General features: G+C 37.3%; 1 pseudogene across 1 annotated transcript in view; it reads left to right on the forward strand.

Moving 5' to 3' along the window:
* ANKRD20A5P (ankyrin repeat domain 20 family member A5, pseudogene) overlaps positions 1 to 2779 on the forward strand; it is a 47954-nt pseudogene extending 45175 nt beyond the window's left edge. Inside the window, exon 16 of the transcript NR_040113.1 lies at positions 1402 to 2779. The product of NR_040113.1 is annotated as an ankyrin repeat domain 20 family member A5, pseudogene (transcript). The remainder of the gene's footprint in view (positions 1 to 1401) is intronic.
* Positions 2780 to 18474: the final 15695 nt, after the last annotated feature.

The raw sequence follows: 18474 nt of genomic DNA on the forward strand, positions 1-18474 counted from the left end.
GATGTGGGGAGTGCCTCTGCCTGGCCGCCCATCATCTGGGAAGTGGGGAGCACCTCTGCCCGGCTGCCCCATCTGGGAAGTGAGGAGTGCCTCTCCCTGGCCACCCCATCTGGGAAGTGGGGAGCGCCTCTGCCCAGCCACCCCGTCTGGGAAGTGAGGAGCGCCTCTGCCCGGCCACCCCGTCTGGGAAGTGGGGAGTGCCTCTGCCCGGCCACCCTGTCTGGGAAGTGAGGAGCACCTCTGCCCAGCTGCCCCGCCTGGGAAGTGGGGAGCACCTCTGCCCGGCCGCCCATAGTCTGGGAAGTGAGGAGCGCCTCTGCCCGGCCACCCCGTCTGGGAAGTGGGGAGCACCTCTGCCTGGCTGCCCCGTCTGGGAAGTGAGGAGCATCTCTGCCCGGCCACCCATCGTCTGGGATGTGAGGAGCACCTCTGCCCTGCCGCCCTGTCTGGGAAACGAGGAGCACCTCTGCCCGGCTGCCCCATCTGGGATGTGGGGAGTGCCTCTGCCCAGCTGCCCATCATCTGGGAAGTGGGGAGCGCCTCTGCCCGGCCACCCCATCTGGGAAGTGAGGAGTGCCTCTGCCCAGCCGCCCCGTCTGGGATGTGAGGAGCGCCTCTGCCTGGCCACCCATAGTCTGGGAAGTGGGGAGTGCCTCTGCCCGGCTGCCCCATCTGGGAAGTGGGGAGCGCCTTTGCCCAGCCGCCCATAGTCTGGGAAGTGGGGAGCACCTCTACCCAGCCACCCCGTCTGGGAAGTGGGGAGCATCTCTGCCCGGCCACCCATCCTCTGGGATGTGAGGAGCACCTCTGCCCCACCGCCCTGTCTGGGAAGCGAGGAGCGCCTCTACCCAGCCGCCCCATCTGGGAGGTGTACCCAACATCTCCGAAGAGACAGCAACCATCAAGAATGGGCCATGATGACGATGGTGGTTTTGTTGCAAAGAAAAGGGGGAAATGTGGGGAAAAGAAAGAGAGATCAGACTGTTACTGTGTCTGTGTAGAAAGAAGTAGACATAGGAGACTCCATTTTGTTCTGTACTTAGAAAAATTCTTCTGCCTTGGTATGCTGTTAATCTATAACTTTACCCCCAACCACGTGCTCTCTGAAACATGTGCTGTGTCAACTCAGGGTTAAATGTATTAAGGGTGGTGCAAGATGTGCTTTGTTAAACAGATGCTTGAAGGCAGCATGCTGGTTAGGAGTCATCACCACTCCCTAATCTCAAGTACCCAGGGACACAAACACTGCCTAGGAAAACCAGAGACCTTTGTTCACGTGTTTATCTGCTGACCTTCTCTCCACTATTAGCCTATGACCCTGCCACATACCCCTCTCCGAGAAACACCCAAGAATGATCAATAAACATTAAAAAAAAAAGATAAAAGAAAAAAAAAGATAAGTTCCGTAAGACAAGAGATACTCTCAGAAAAAAGTCATTGGCTTTAGAAACTGTACAAAACGACCTAAGCCAAACACAGCAGCAAATAAAGGAAATGAAAGAGATGTATCAAAGTGCAGAAGCTAAAGTCAGTAAATCCACTGGAAAGTGGAACTGTGTGGAAGAGAGGATATGTCAACTCCAACGTGAAAATCCGTGGCTTGAACAGCAACTAGTTGATGTTCATCAGAAAGAGGATCATAAAGAGATAGTAATTAATATCCAAAGAGGCTTTATTGAGAGTAGAAAGAAAGACCTCATGCTAGAAGAGAAAAATAAGAAGCTAATGAATGAATATGATCATTTAAAAGAAAGTCTCTTTCAATATGAGAGACAGAAAGCAGAAACAGTAGTAAGTATCAAGGAAGATAAATATTTTCAAACTTCTAGAAAGAAAGTTTAAACATTTGGTTCTGGATACATGTTGAACCTAGTTGAATATAAAAATCAGTAGATAAAAAGTGTGTTTACTATACTGTATAATTCCATTTACATGAAGCATCCAGAAAAGAGAAAGGTATAGGTACAAAAAGTAGAATAATGTTTGTGAAGGGCTGGGGCTGGAAGCTGGTAGTGACTGCTAATGGGCGTGAGGGATCTTGCAGTGATGGAAATGCTCTAAAGTTGGATTGTAGAGATGGCTGCACAGCTCAGAAAATGTACTAAAAATCTTTTAACTTTATGTTAAAACAGATACATTCTATAGTATGTAAATTATATTTCAACAAAGCTTTTTGGTTTAAAAAAAAAGGAAAAATGTGTTCACTACATCAGCTTAGAAACATAACTTGTTTCCATAGAGGTGAGAGATGATTTACTTTGAGAGAAGACATTGTGTCACCTATGACATTTTATTAGGCACAGAGTCATATTTTAAGGTAGATAGTCCTGTAGTGCTGAAATAATAATTTTAATGTCTTTATATTGCCACATGTTAAGACCATGGTGAAGGTATAAATGGAAATGTTTACACCTGAAATGAGTATTTTCAAATTAAAATTTAATTAAGTGATTTGCTTCAACACTTAATTCTAGATTTCCCAGATGAACTGAAGTGTATTGCTGTATCTTGTAATATCTTGCTTTAAGTAGTTTTTTATATATTTTAGTTGGTATAGCTTTATTATTATTCATATTAATTTAACTTAAATCTGAAAATGTCAGTCTCAAATTACATATTTTAATGACCACGTAATGTTTTAAAGGCACCTACTTGTTATAAAATTATAATTTAGGGTAAATGTGGTAAATTTTAGCAAAACTATATTTGATTTAGTCTTCCCACTCGTATTCATAATTTACTTTGAATATTTTTATTAATAATTAGCTCATAATTTTTATTTCAAGGCTCAATGACTATCATTTGAATATAACTTTGTCCAGTACAAAGATACTGTAGCTGCCTGTGATTTATGAGTTAGGCATTAGATCCCCATTTTCAGACTAAAGCGGGGTGGTAGGCTTCACGTACAGTGGGAATGGAGTAATTACAGGAGGGAGTTGTAGAAGCTTGAAGTCAGAGAGGGAGGTAGAGGCCTGTTTACCTAGGGCCTCAAAGGCCATTGGACTTTTACTTTTATTCTGAGACAGGAATCTGTTGGAAGGATTTGAACAGTTGATTGAATATGTTAGGAACTTTGAGGTTGAGTTGAGCTTCTAAGATGATTGAATGGTGGGATGAATCTGTTGTATTAAGAGAATACCAATTTGGCAGGAGGATAACACATTCTGCATCCCTCACTGAATTCAGTAATAAATAAAAATGTGTACCTGTGATGAAAAGAAGGTGAATTGATGTGTGTGAGATAATTTTCAAAGTAGGTATGTTAGAGTTAAATGTTCTTAACATAATTTAATAATAAGGCAATTTATAAAATCAGTAACAAAAGTATTTTATCAGGTGGTTATGAGACAACTTCAACAAGAAGTGGCTGATTCCCTTAAAAAATTAACTATGTTAGAGTCTCCACTGGAAGGTACATCATGTTGTCACATTAATTTGGATGAGACACAGGCCTCAAAGAAGAAATTATTTCAAGTGGAAAGTCAAGTATGTATGGAATCTAACATGTCGACAGTTATTCTGTAGCTGGTTGAATTATATAACATGTTTTAGGATACTAATTTTGGCAGAAGCTTGATTTTGTACTTTCATTATAATTAATTATTTCCATTTTACTATCTTTATAATGTACTTTTTTTAAATATTGTGACTTTTGTTCTACCATTTTGAAAAAGGATTGCATACCTTTTCTCTTACAATATGTACCCTTGGAAAAGTTGATAATTATACATCATTCCTCAGAGAAAATTGACTTTTTTCCTGTTAAACATATTTTCAAGTAATTTTTGTATTGCTATGATGAGGCAGGCCAGATTAAATCAGAGGACAATGTTTAATGGAATGTTCCAGAAAATTGTCTTATTTCTTCACTTTTGTGAAAGGACACAGAATCTGTGTCTATTTCACAGATTCTAAGTTAACTTGTATAGAAAGGCCATTATACTATTCTTTGAAATGTACATGTTTTATGTCAATTTACAAACTATTTGAAAAGTTAGGCATTTTCTTTATTTACCTTTTATTTAAAATATAAAAGTATAGAAATATTTAGATCTGATATAGTAGGTACATCAAAAATTGAGAGCTGAGAAAATTTTCTTGATCCTGCCATTGGATTTTAAAAACAGTTTCACTGAGATATAATTCATGTATCAGACAGGTCAACCATTTAAAATGTGCAACTCAGTATCTGTTAGTATATTCACAGCATTTTCATCACCCTGAAAAGCAACCCCACATCTCCTAGGCATGACTGCAGCCTTCCTCCATGTCCCTCCACCTACCCCTGTTGTAGGCAAACACCATCTATTTTTGTCTCCATAGGTTTGCCTGTTCTGCATATTTCATATACATAGAGTTAGACAATACATAGTCCTTTGTGACTGGCTTTTTCACTTAGCTTAATGTTTTCAGAATTCATGCATGTTTTAGCACACATTGGTAGTTTATTTCTTGTTATAGTTAAATGATACTCTATTGCATGGCTATACTGGTTTTCCATTCATTCATCAGTTGATGGACGTTTACGTTAGTTTCCACTTCTAGCTATTATGAAAAATGCTGCTGCAAACATTCACTTAGAGGTTATTATGTGGACACGTGTTTTTATTTCCCTGCCATTGGACTTTATCCTCAGAGTTAATTGGGCAGATTTCAGCACTTGTCTTGCTCATGCTATCCTTTCTGCCTTCTCAGTTTCTGTTCATCTAGCCTCATTCATTCAGACCTGGCAGACAATTTTTTTGTTTTTATGAAGCTTTCTCTGACTGTTCTGACTCTCATTGACCTTATGTGTTAGGAATTGTTGTCCAGTCTGTGCAGAAAACTTAGTCCTTAATTTTACATGGCTTTTTCTTTTTTATGGAAGATAATTTTGTCTCAGTATAAATTTGCTTAATGGGGGAATAATATATAATATGTATGGCACCTATCCTTGCATAAATTGAAAATATTTTAGCTTAGAAGTTTTTAGCATACAATTAAATATTTTATACCATACCAATTATTTGTTCTTTGAGACCTTGACACAGTAAGGTTTATATTCTAAATGTATTTTTAGCAATTAAATATCAAATCTAAACCAATTAGTCTAATAGAGGAGACTCGTTCAATCACATGTTTATGTTTTTCTCTCTATGAAAAAGAATCTAAATTGGCCTTTTTTCACTATGCAGCCATTACTGTATTTCTGGACTGCTCCCAGTTTGTCAGCTGAACAGTTCTGGCTGCAGCTTGTCTGATGACAGATAGCACAGCCCCTCAATCTGAGTGCTCAGCAGAGTGCTTGTGAAGGCAGCACCACAGCAACAGTTGCTCAGAGGGAACAGATTCAGGAGCCTTGGTTTAGCAATAGAGTCCAGGGTTTTCAGCTCAGTGTCTTTAGCCTGTCTCTGCTGGTCATGTCAGTTATGTACTATTCCATCCAGGAGGTGCTATTTACATTGTAGTACATACATAGTCATTGCCTACTGAGTCATACACAGAGAAAAGTAAGTTATAAATTATATGCCCCCCATTTGCTGCAACTCTCAGTGGTGAGAAGAATGATTCAGTGCAGCTATAGGAGACTACTTCCATTGGCATGCCACCTGCCTAACATACACAATTTTGTTAAGATATACAATAAAATTATTATGCTACTAGCAAATATTTTATGTAGCTCACTATGTTCCACGTACTCTTGTAAGTGCTTCATGTTAGTCCCCAGTTAAACACCTGGTTGGGGGAGGTGGCTCATGCAAGTAATCCTAGCATTTTGGAAGGCTGAGGCAGGAGGCTCGCTTGAGCCCAGGAGTTTGAGATCAGCCACAGCAATATAATGAGAACCTGTCTTTAAAAAATAAATAAATAAATACTTAGAGGCATGGTGGTGCATGCCTGTAGTCCCAGCTACCTTGGGAGTCTGTGGTAGGAGGGTCGGTTGACCTTGGAATATTGAGGCTGCAGTGAGTGTTGATCAAGCCACTACACTCCAGTCTGGGTAACAGAGTGAGACTCTGTCTCATAAATAAAACGTTTTGTATAGATTCCCATAGAAGTGAGTTAGACATCAGGCATAGTATTGTTAGCCACTTTGATGTCTGCCTAGGGAGTAAAACATATAATAAGGGACAGCATTAAACCATCTCAGTCAGTAGCCTCTAACTTCTCAAGAAGGTTCTTATCTCCTGAATGTCTAAGCAAGAGACTACCTGGATGAAGACATTTGGTGGACACCATTTTGAGATGAAGAATCTCAAATGGGAAGAAGGGAGATGTCTACTTGACTGGAGCTTCCCAATGATATATTTGAGTGTCCCCCAAAAGAAACTTTAGAAACTTTAGAACAAGACTTTCATCATTCCATATCTCTATGGAAAAGGAAACTCTTTAAAAGAAAACAAAGGCAAACAATTGATAATCTGATTCTCTTGGGAAAGTTTTCATTATAAAAGAAAAAAAGGGCTGGGTGTCGTGGCTCATGTCTGTAATCCCAACATTTCGAGAGGCTGAGGTGGGTGGATTACCTGAGGTCAGGAGTTCAAAAACAGCCTGTCCAACATGGTGAAACCCTGTCTCTACTGAAAATACAAAAATTAGCCAGGCGTGGTGGTGTGCACCTGTAGTCCCAGCTACTTGGGAGGCCAAGGCAGGAGAATCACTTGAACCCAGGAGGTGGAAGTTGCAGTAAGCCAAGATGGCGCCACTGCACTCCAGCCTGGATGACACAGTGTGACTCCATCTCAAAAAAAAAAAAAAAAGAAAAAGAAAAGGGACAAAGTATACTGGTCCAAAAAAGAAGAAAGAAAGAAAAAAAGGACAAAGTATACTGTTCAATATCGTAATGGTGAGACTGTCCCCCTTTGAGATAGAAAATAACGGTATACTCAAAGTAACATCAATAAGAACCAACATAAAATAGACAAGATTCACTATCTACAAAAGTAATCTGCACCAAGTAGCAATGTCTGAGCGTGTGGTTGAGAATATTGTCTATAATATGTGTACTAGAAGGAAGAGGCCTCAAGAAAAATGTCAGAGCTGGAAATGTAGATTAGGGAATCTAGTTCAAAGTTTTGAGATTTTAGGAGTCCTGAGAGAATTTAAAAAGTGGAATAGCAGCCAGGCGTGGTGGCTCACGCCTGTAATCCCAGCACTTTGGGAGGCCAAGGCAGGCAGATCATGAGGTCAGGAGTTCAAGATCAGTCTGGCCAACATAGTGAAACCCCATCTCTACTAAAAATATGAAAAATTAGCCGGGCGTGGTAGCACACGCCTGTAATCCTAGCTACTTGGGAGGGTGAGGCAGGAGAATTGCTTGAACCCAGAAGGTGGAGGTTGCGGTGAGCTGAGATTGTGCCACTGCACTCCAGCCTGGGTGACAGTGGGGGACTCCATCTCAAAAACAAACAAACAAACAGAAAGGAATAGGACTGAAGAACAGAGGTTGCTGCATTTAGAAATGAAGTGGGGTCAGAGGAGCAGAGGGAACATTTGGTCACTGCTCGCAGCTGCTGCTGAGTAAAGCAGGATAAAGTCCTTCATGACCCTTGAACTTTTTTATTGGAATTATTAAAAATCAGATTTCCATATTAAAAACACAATAAGTGATGAAAAATAGATTTCTGGATGAGACCATGTGTCACAGATTCCAATGGAAGGGGAGAAACAGGATAATAGAAAAACCACAAAAAGTAGACAAAAGTTGTGTTTTTGTTTATTATAGAAAAAAACTTTATTTAAAGAGAAAGGGTTAAGAGAAAGGGAAAAACTGAAACGTGTGGGTGAATACTTACAGAGAATGACAGTATTTAGCTCAACCTGAAGACAGATGAGGATCAAAAAGGTAATGGGAAATAGATAAGAGTTTTCTAAAACTCGTCTTAGTAAGATGTAATTTAAGAAAACTTGGAATATCTTAAACTATTATTAATGACAATGTTTCTAGAGCATCTTTAAAAAGTAAAATGTAAATATAACTACACATTTTTTACTAACCCTTAGTATTTTATGTGTAAAAACCCTTGTTTGTAACAAACATTTTTGGCAGTTTAAATTTCAGAAAATATAATGAAAGTATGTATCATTTTTAGCAGTTTTAAGAAAAGTGACTATTTCTGAAATCTGCCCTTATTGGCATCAGGCTTATAAAATGCACTTTATACCCATGCCTAAATACATATTACTCATCAACTTATGAGAAATAATATTTTTAAGATAAAAGAGGGTCTCTAGATTTTACAAAAATAATTTTAAACACTTTTTTTTAAGCCTGAAGAAAAAAATGAAGAATTAAGGAAAGTTTTTGTGTTAGTATCATCACTGGAGTATAATGTGAATCAAATAAGAAAGAAAAATCATGAATTAGAAGAAGAGGCAACTGGGTATGGTTTTCATATTGTAGAACATGTTAATCATTTATTAATTGATTTAGCTCTAATTTTACTTGACTAAAACTGAGATACAATTTCATTTTATGTCTCCATTTTAATAATTAAATGAATTCTATTTTAAAATGTATTTCAGAAACTCACAACAAAACTTTATAGGCATGTGCATCATGGGGTTGGGAGTCAGCTGAGCTGCTGGGGCAAGGTTGGGATGAAAAAATTTGTATTAAAATATGTATAAAAGAGAAACAACATAATCTGACAATTTTTTGAATGCCAAAATATTATACTTATTTATTTATTTATTTTTATTTTTATTTATTATTATTTTTTTTGAGACAGTGCCTCTGTCTCCCAGGCTGGAGTGCAATGGCGCCATCTTGGCTCACTGCAACCTATGCCTCCAAGCAATTCTCCTGCCTCAGCCTCCTGAGTAGCTGGGATTACAGGCATGTGCAACCACACCCGGCTACCTTTTGTATTTTTTAGTAGAGAGGAGGTTTTGCAAAGTTGGTCAGGCTGGTCTCAAACTCCTGACCTCGTGATCTGCCTGACTCAGCCTCCCAAAGTGGCATGAGCCACTGTGCCTGGCCGCTTATTCTTTAATGATTTTGAAAACAATGACAAAGCCTTGGACATATAATGTCAAGTCCACTCTTCATTATCTAGTTTGAATTTTTATTTCTGAAGATATTTTTGCTGTCTGTGGTCATCTTTTCTTCCTTTTGTAGTATCCTCTGCTGCATTCAAATTCTTTAAAGAAGACCTATTGTGTCATTCTTTAACATCAAAATTTATCTTGATATATAGCTTATATTTTGTTTCTGCTTCTTTTTCTTTTAGATATAAAACATGGAAATTTACTCATTTTACACAGATACCTCCGTTGTATTCACGAAGTATACATGTTATTAAACTTCTGTTTTACAGCAATAAATTTCATATATATAAAAATATATGTATAACTTAAAAGTAAAATGAGCATTCATGTTTTGATCACATATTTTTTTTAAAAAAATGGAATGTGTCTTTGAAGTCCTGAACACAGCTACTTTTCTATTTATTTACTGAGCACTTAAGTTGGTTTTCTGATTCTAATCTACATTTTTCTGTCATTGTCTTTCTCTACATGGTTTTGTATCTCTTTCATTTTGTTGACATTATGTCAGCAAAGATCTCTAGATCTCTTCTTCAAAGTCCTTAAATTGTCACACATCTCTCTGCCCCATTCTTGGTCTTCTCTTTTTCTACATTGAATAATGTCCTTGATGCTTTTTGTGTGTACTTTTTTTTCTTCTTATAGACTGTGAATGGGTATCAAAATGTAATTTTTTGTCTTTTTCAAATGTATGTGTTTTACTTTTTTATCTTGGTTACTCATTTCTAGGTTATGGCTTATATTTAGTAATAGGTTATTTTATCTTAGCATACCAACATGGGTATGAATAGTTTATTTACAAAAAGTGTATGGTTAGGCCAGGTGTGCTGGCTCACACTTGTAATCACAGTATTTTGGGAGGCCAAGGTGGGTGGATCATTTGAGGTCAGGAGTTCAAGACCAATCTGACCATTCAAGGCCAGTCTGACCAACATGGTGAAACCCCATCTTTACTAAAAATACAAAATGAGCTAGGTGTGGTGCTACATGTCTGTAATCCCAGCTACTTGGGAGGCTGAGGCAGGAGAATCACTTGAATCCAGGAGGCAGAGGTTGCAGTAAGCCAAGATCACACCATTGCATTTCAGCCGGGGAAACAAGAGTGAAATTCCATCTCAAAAAAAAAAAAAAAAAACAAAAAAAAAACACTGTATGGTTGTAATACCACTTTACCTGCCATATATGCCATAAAATTGTTCTTCATATTATTTATCTAAGATTATAATTTCATATACAGTGCTTCCAAACTATGCTCAGTTGAAACTGAAAGGATCATAGTTTATAGATGTGTTTCTTTGATATGCTATAACATAATATCTTTTAAACAATTATTAAATATTTACTCTTAAAAATATTTGACTTACTAATTCTGTACATTTCTGCAGATATAAGAAACTCCTGGAAATGACAATAAATATGTTAATGTATTTGGAAATGAAGACATCGATTGCCATGGAGACTTAAATACAGATCAACTGAAAATGAATATTCTGATTAAGAAGCTAAAACATAAGGTAATTTTTTAAAAAAAATTATCTTAAGGTCTAGATTACATGTGTGAGATGTGCAGGTTTGTTACATAGGTAAACGTGTGCCATGATGGTTTGCTGCACCTGTCAATCCATCACCTAGATATTAAGCCCCGCAGGAATTAGCTATTGATCTTGATGCTCTCCCTCTTGACCCCTACAGGCCCCAGTGTTTGTTTTTCCCCTCCCCGAGTCCATGTGTTCTCATCGTTCAGCTCCCACTTATAAGTGAGAAAATGTAGTGTTTGGTTTTTTCTTCCTGCATTAGTTTGCTGAGGATAACAGCTTCGAGTTCATCCATGTCCCTGCAAAGAGCATGATCTCATTCATTTTTATGGCTCCATGGTGTATATATACCACATTTTCTTTATCCTGTCTATCACTGATGGACATCTGGGTTGATTCCATGTCTTTGCTATTGTGAATAGTGCTGCAATGATCATATAAATGCACGTATCTTTATAACAGAATAACTTATATTCCAACATACGGTAATTTTAAATCAGTTTTGGGATTAAAAATCACGTAATTTGGGAATATATTGATAATGGAAAAACCCAAATTCTGCCAAAATATGTTGAGAAAATAGAGGGTAAATATATCTTTTCAGACTTTGAATGCATCAGCCTCTTAGTTAATCTTCCCCAGATCTGGGAAGACCTAGAAGGGGACAGATTGGGCTACATTAATGAGGGCCATTTCAGTCTCTTGGCCCTGCAGCAGCCATTTCAAAATATGTCAGAAAAATATATTTGGGGGTTAAATATTTTGATTTCCTTCAGCTTCTTCTCTCTGTGATGCTGTACCAGAATCAGGTGAGAAAGGAAGCCACATTATAAGAGTTAATAAAACCCATCTGATGAGATTTAATAGTTTGAAGTGTGTGATTCTCAGACCCTTTAGATAGAAATTGGGGCCAAAGAAAACAAGTTCTTATTCCTCAATATAAATCTCTCAGTGCTTTAAGCAGTGAAAGAAAGATTTTTCATTTAATTTTACAGAATTGATACTAATGAAAAGGATAGTTTTAAAAATATAAACCTTTTTTCTATAAAAAGGACATGCTGTTGATTCTCTTATGTCTTTAACTCTGGCCAGTGATCTGAAACCAAGCAGTACCTGTCTCCAGACCACTAGTACCAAATTAATTTGGGGGGGGGGGCTGGGTAACCGGTTTATTGAGAAATAATGAACACACCATGCAAGTCACTCATTTAAAATATACGAGTCATTGACTTTAGTATTTTCAGAGAGTTATGCAGTCATAATTACAATCAATTTTAGAATATTTTCATCACCCTGAAAACAAACCCCACATCACTTAGCCATCTTCACTAGTTTTCCCTTCCTCCCCCAGCCGTAGGGAACCACCAACCTCCTTTATATAGATTTGCCTATAAGCCTCTGAAATAAAAAGCAAGTGGTCTACTGTGACTGGCTTATTTCACTTAGCATAATTTTTCATGCTGCATCTGTGCTGTAGCAGGTATTGATGTGGGGTTTTTCTCATTAGTTCAGCTACATCTGGGTTCTTCTCTCATGACCAGGAAAAATTAAGCACGCAGACACATTGAAGGGTGAGGAGGACAGAATTTATTAAGTGAAAGGAAAGCTCTCAGTAAAGAGAGTGGTCCTGCAAACAGGTTTCCACCTCACAATTGAATACCAGGAGCACATGAGTTGAAGCAGCCAGGCTCCTCCCCTGCATAAGGCATGAATTTCTGGTGGCTCCACCTCATCCCCCCAGTGCATGTGGGCCTCTGGTCTGCTGCAGGCATGTCCAGGCAAGACAAGTCCAGGTTCCCTTATCTGCACTTAACATCTGGTGTAAACACTTGTGGGGCTGGTTGGAGATTCTCCAGGGACCCTTCCATATCTGCCTAGGCATTTTGCTGTCTCCTCCTAATACAGTATCAGTACTTAATTTCTTCTTATTGCTGAGTGATATTCCATTGTATGGATATATCAAACAGTTTATTTATCCATTCACCAGGTGATGGACCTTTGGGTTCTTTCCCACCCAAAGGTGATGGACTTTTTGGTTCTTTCCACTTTTTGACTCATATTAGTAATGCTGCTGTAAACATTTATGTACGAGTTTTTGTGCTTGCATGATTTTTGTTTTTCTGGAGTATATACTTATGACTGGAATTTCTGGGTCATATGGTAACTTCATGCTTAACCTTTTGAGGAGCTGCCAGTTTGTTTTCCAAAGCGGCTGCATCACTTTACATCCCCAGCAGCACTGGATAAGGGTTTTAATTTCTTTACATTTTTCCTAACACTTATTTTCTCTTTTTTATTGAACAAAGATTTTATCCTGTGGTGTGAAGTGATACCACATGTGGTTTTGATTTACATTTTCCTAATGACTAATTACATCAAGCATCTATTAATGTCCTCATTATCCATCTTTACATCTTCTTTGCAGATACATCTATTCAAAATCTTTGCCCATTTTTAAAATTGAATTATCTTGTTACTCATGAATTGCAAAGGTTCTTTACATATTCTATGTATGTAAGTCGCTTATCAGGTATATGCTTTTCAAATACTTTCTTCTACTTAGTGTCTTGCCTTTTCACTTCTTGATGCTGTCTTCTTAGGCACAGCAGTTTTCAATTTTGAAGTCCATTGAGTCCATTTTTCCTTTGGAGTCATAGCTAAGAAAACACTGCCAAATGCAGTCACAAAGATTTATGCCTGGGTTTTCTTCTGAGAGTTTTATAGTTTTAGCTGTTACAGTTAACTGTTTTATTTTGAGTTAATTTTTTAAAAAGATATTTGGTCCTAATTTATTTATTTTTTGCATATGGATACCCAGTTGTCCCAGCACCATTTGTTGAAAAGACTCTTCTTTTCCCATTTTGTTCTTTTGTTAACTTTATATAAAATCAATTGACTGTAAATGCACAAGTTTATTTTTAGATTATCAATTCTTACTTTGTTTATGTCTATTATTATGCCAAGGCCAAAATGAATTTACTGAGAAGTTTTTTTTCAATCATGTTGCATATTACCAGTTGTCTTATGTCATAATAAAAATTAAATTTAGTGGAATATCTTTAATTTCACCTTTTGTGTCTCAAAGGAGTCTGTGGCCAGCTTATACCTTACTTACTCTAAGACATGATGGGAAGCCAGGCCTATAAGACACACTTTATTTCTTTTTTCTCCCTTCAAATCTTTAGTCTCTTTTCCATTGCCTCCCACTATAGTTTTGTTTTCAGTAAGTTTTGGTCACAGGATCTGCTGACATAGTCTAATATTTAGTGCATTATGTTTTGCTAACTCATTATAATTCATAGAATCTTCCATAGATGTTTACCATCCAGGAAGGAGAAGTTTAAGTCTGAGCCACCAGCTTTCCTCAGTGGAAATCAAGTGAAGTCATCATCTTGCAGTTCACAGATCCTCTTTCCACCTGGTAGCTGGTTCTCTTGGGTAGCACTGTGGCTAATCCTTTTCTTGGTGCAGATCTTGCATTCTCAGAAACCACAGTTAGCTGTATTGACCGCCTTTTACTGAAACAGAGATGCACAGCTCTGCTTTCTAGCTCAGTAGAGGATTCTTGGAATATAAAGTTTAACTCATTCCAAGAAAAGGTCTTAGGAGTGCAGCACTTCAAAATCAGGTAATGTTCAGGCATTTTATCAGAGACACATAGTAGATTAGTATTTTGACTTTCAAAATTTCAGAGCCAAGTTGTGTGCTATAGAGAAGTCTTGTGGTATAGCATAGAGATGGGATGGTCTTAACTTCTCCAAACAAACAAGCTTGAAGTAAAGTAAAGGAGAAATTGCATTTGATTGCTTAACACTCAAAGCACTCTATGTTTATTTTACTTCTGTGAAGACTAAAAATCACTTCATAATGTTCTCCTTATTTCCTCATTGAGAAAAGGAAAATAAAAATTAAATACTAGATTGATTAATAAATACTGAAAGCTTATCTTTTAGAATTTTAGTTAATTCAAATCAGGTAAATATCTGATTTTGATTGTATAACCAAGTATTTCTAGTTTTTTTTCATACCATATGTCTTCTTCTTGCTTCCCAGTCTTATTTCCTAACTTGAGGGGAAACCTTAAGGAGACACCCTTGCCTTGTTATCAGAGTTCATAATTGAAGGAGTTTTAGGAAAAGTTTCTCCTCAGCAGCTTATGTCTCTGTCCTGGTTATCTGCTGCTTCTCAATAATGTTTGCCATCAATAAATTAACCTCAACATTTATTAGATCCTACTTTAAAGGAGACTCTTTTCTGCTGCATAAGTTATGTTTCCTGTTGTCTCTTTTTAAAACTTATTTTTCTAACAATTACCCAGAGTTTTGTGGCTTAAAAGAAAAATATTTATTTTGTTAATGAACCTGTGGTTTGGAAAAATCTTGGCTGGGACAGCTCATCTCTACTCCCCTCAGCTTCCCTAGGAACAGCTATCAGTTGGGGAAATGGAATCCTCTGAAGCGTTGCTCACCCACCTGTTTGATGGTTGATGCTGGCCATTGGCTGGAACCTTGGTTGGGACAGGCAGCATGAACACTGACACTGGCACTGCCAGGTTCTCTTTGTGGCCTGAGTGCTGTCACAATCTGGTGGCTGGGTTCCAAGGGAAAACAGTCTGAGATAGGTAAGCCACATGGTATCCCTTTTACTGCATTCTATTTATTAGGAGGAAGTCAGTAAGGTTGGCCCATATTCTGTTTTTTTAAATGGGATCAATGTAACTTCTCTTTTGTTTTAATTGACACACATGTACATAATTATGGGTTATAGAGTGATATTCTGATACATGTAAATAGGGTGTAATGATCAAGCTAACTAGCACATTTACTACAACCATTTTTCATTTCTTTGAATTGTGAACATTCACAATCTTCTGGCTTTTTAAAAATATACAATAAATCATAGTTAACCATATTCACCCTACAGTGCCGCAGAACACCAGAACTCCTTCTTATCTAACTGTAATTCTATATCCATTAACCAACCTACCTTCCCCTACTTCTTTGAGATTTTTGTTGTTGTTAAGAGACAGGGTCTTGCTAGTGTAGTCTGGGCTCTGGGCAACTGTAGTCACCCAGACGGGAGACAGTGGTTTGATCATAGTTCACTGCAGCCCCCAACTCTTGGGCTCATGTGATCCTCACACCTCAGCCTCCTGAGAAGCTAGGATTATGAGCATGCACCATTGCACCAGTCTGATTTTTGACTTTATAGAAATATCTCCCTATGCTGCCCAGATGCTCTGGAACTTTTGGCCTCAAGTGACTCTCCTGCCTTTGTCTTTCTAAGTGCTAGGAAATTACAGGCATCAGCCATGTTGCCCAGGCCTCAATTTTTCTTTAGCTCCCTCACAGGAGTGAGAATGTGCAGTATTTATCTTTCTGTGTCTGCACTTAACATAACATCCTCCAGACTGATCCACGTGGCCACGATGACGGGATTTAATTCCTTTATATGGTGAATAGTATTCCATTGTGTATGTGTGCCACAGTTTTTTGTCTTTTCATTTGGTGATGGATATGTAGGTTGATTCCATACATTAGCCGTTGTGAATAGTGCTACAATAAACATATGAGGACAGGTATCCTTTTGATCTATTGTTTTCTTTTCTATTGCCTGAATACCCAGTAGTGGGCTTGCTGGATCCCTCGGCAGTTCCATTATTAATTTTTTGAGGAAACCTCGTGTTGTTTTCTATAGTGGCTGCACTAATTTACCTTCCCACCAACAGCACGTAAGAGTTTACTGTTCTCTGGAACCTCTCCGGCATTTTTTTTTTTATCTTTTCAATGATAATAGTTTATTCAAGTTGAAGCAAGATTATATCATATTGTAGATTTGATTTGTGTTTCTCTGAGGGTTAGTGATCCTGAGCATTGTTAAATTTATTTATTGGCTATTTGTATTTCTTTTTTCTAAAAAAAAGTATAGTTAGATATTTTGCCCAATTTTGAACTCAGATTTTTTTTCACTGTCAAGTTGTTTGAATTTCTTGTACATTTTGGATATTAGTCCCTTATTAGATTAATAGCTTGATGATATTTTCTCCGATTCTACAAGTTTTCTCTTCACTCAGTTGTTAGCTGGACAGAAGCTTTTTAGCTTAGTGTAGTACCATTTGTCTATCATTTGTTTTTTGCCTATGATTCTGATATCTTACCCATAAAAATCTTTGTGCAGACTGTCCTCAAGAATTTTCCCTGTTTACTTATAGTAGTTTGATAATTTTGGGCCTTACATTTCAGTCTTCAATTGATTCTGAGTTTATGTTGTTATATGGTGTTACATAGGAAGCTAGTATCATTCTTCTCCATATGGATATTTAGTTTTCCCGGTGCCATTCATTTGAAGAGGCTGTCCTTTCCCCAGTGTATGTTCTTGCCACGTTCATCCAAAATCACTTGGCTGGAAATATGTGGATTTATTTCTGGGTGCTGTATTCTATGGCATTTACCCCAAGAATCATTACTTCTTAAAATGCAACTCAAATTAGCATGAAACATTTGCAGTTTAAGGAAAGGCTTATGGCATCAGAATACTTATTTATAGGATTCATTATTTTGTGTTTTTTTGAGATAGGGTCTTTGTCTGTCATCCAGGCAGAAGGGCAGTGATGTGGTCATAATTCACTGCAACCCTGAACTCTGGTACAAGCTATCCTTTTGCCTCAGTCTCCTAAATAGCTGGGTCTTCAGACATGAGCCACCATGCCTGGCTAATTTAAAAAAAATTTTTTTTGTAGAGATGGGGCCTCACTATGTTGCTCTGGCTGATCTCAAATTCCTGGCCTCAAGTAATCTTTCTGCCACAGCTTTTTAAAGTGCTAGGATTACAGGCATGAGCCACCATGCCTAGTATAGAGTGTTATATTATTTTCAAAGTCTTATTCCTAGAGCCATTTATTGACTTTGGCTTAAATAACTCAATGTGATATTTCTGAAACTTTTTTTGACATATTATGGGGAATGATAATGAGGGAAGGGGGATAGACACTTTTTACTAAGAGATAGCTTAGTGCCACTTAAGGAGGAATAAAAATAAATTATCAGAAAAATAAAAGTAAAATGAAGTGCAAAAGTTCTGTGGCAAAGATGATGATAGTTAAATAATGTATTTTTGTGACTCATGGTAGCTTTAACTTTGTTCTTAAAATTCTGAGTAATTTAAGGGTTCACATTTGAAGAATCTACTGCACTACACATAACAGTTTATTCCAAGTAAATGCATTTCAAAATTTGCTATTGATTTTGTATTAGATTATTCTCAGCCTACTTCATTATCAAGCTATACTATTTTATTCATGCAGTTTGATGATCTTACAGCAGAGAAGGAAGCTGTATCTTCAAAATATGTCAATTTGGCTAAAGACAATCAAGTTCTTCAACAGGAGTTATTATCTATGAATAAAGTACAACAGGAATGTGAAAAACTTGAGGAGGATAAAAAGATGTTGGAAGAAGAAATATTAAATCTTAAGACACATGGAAAACAATATGGTAGAACTTAGTAAACTACAAGAATATAAATTGGAGCTAGATGAAAGGGCAATGCAGGCAGTAGAAAAATTAGAAGAAATCCATTTACAGGTTAGTTTTTTAAATCAGTTAAGTTTATCTGTAATGTGGTTTCCTTTATTTCACTGCAAATTATATTTTGGATATGTGTATATTGTGTTTCCTCTGCCTCTCTTGTAGCAATTTACTTTGTAGAGTTTTAGAAAAAAAAGGCATCTGTTTTTTCTTTTAAATATTTAAATTTCCATTATTATTATAACAAAATCAACCTTTCAGAGTAATGATTCTTACTATGGAGTCATTTGATGATTAAGACCAGTTGGCATAAGAAAAAGTTGTGATTTAGAAATTATGTGATACTTTTGAATTGGTCTTAAGCTACATTGTTCGTTGATCAC

The sequence above is a fragment of the Homo sapiens genome, chromosome 18 (assembly GCF_000001405.40).
Source record: "Homo sapiens chromosome 18, GRCh38.p14 Primary Assembly".
NCBI lineage: Eukaryota > Metazoa > Chordata > Mammalia > Primates > Hominidae > Homo > Homo sapiens.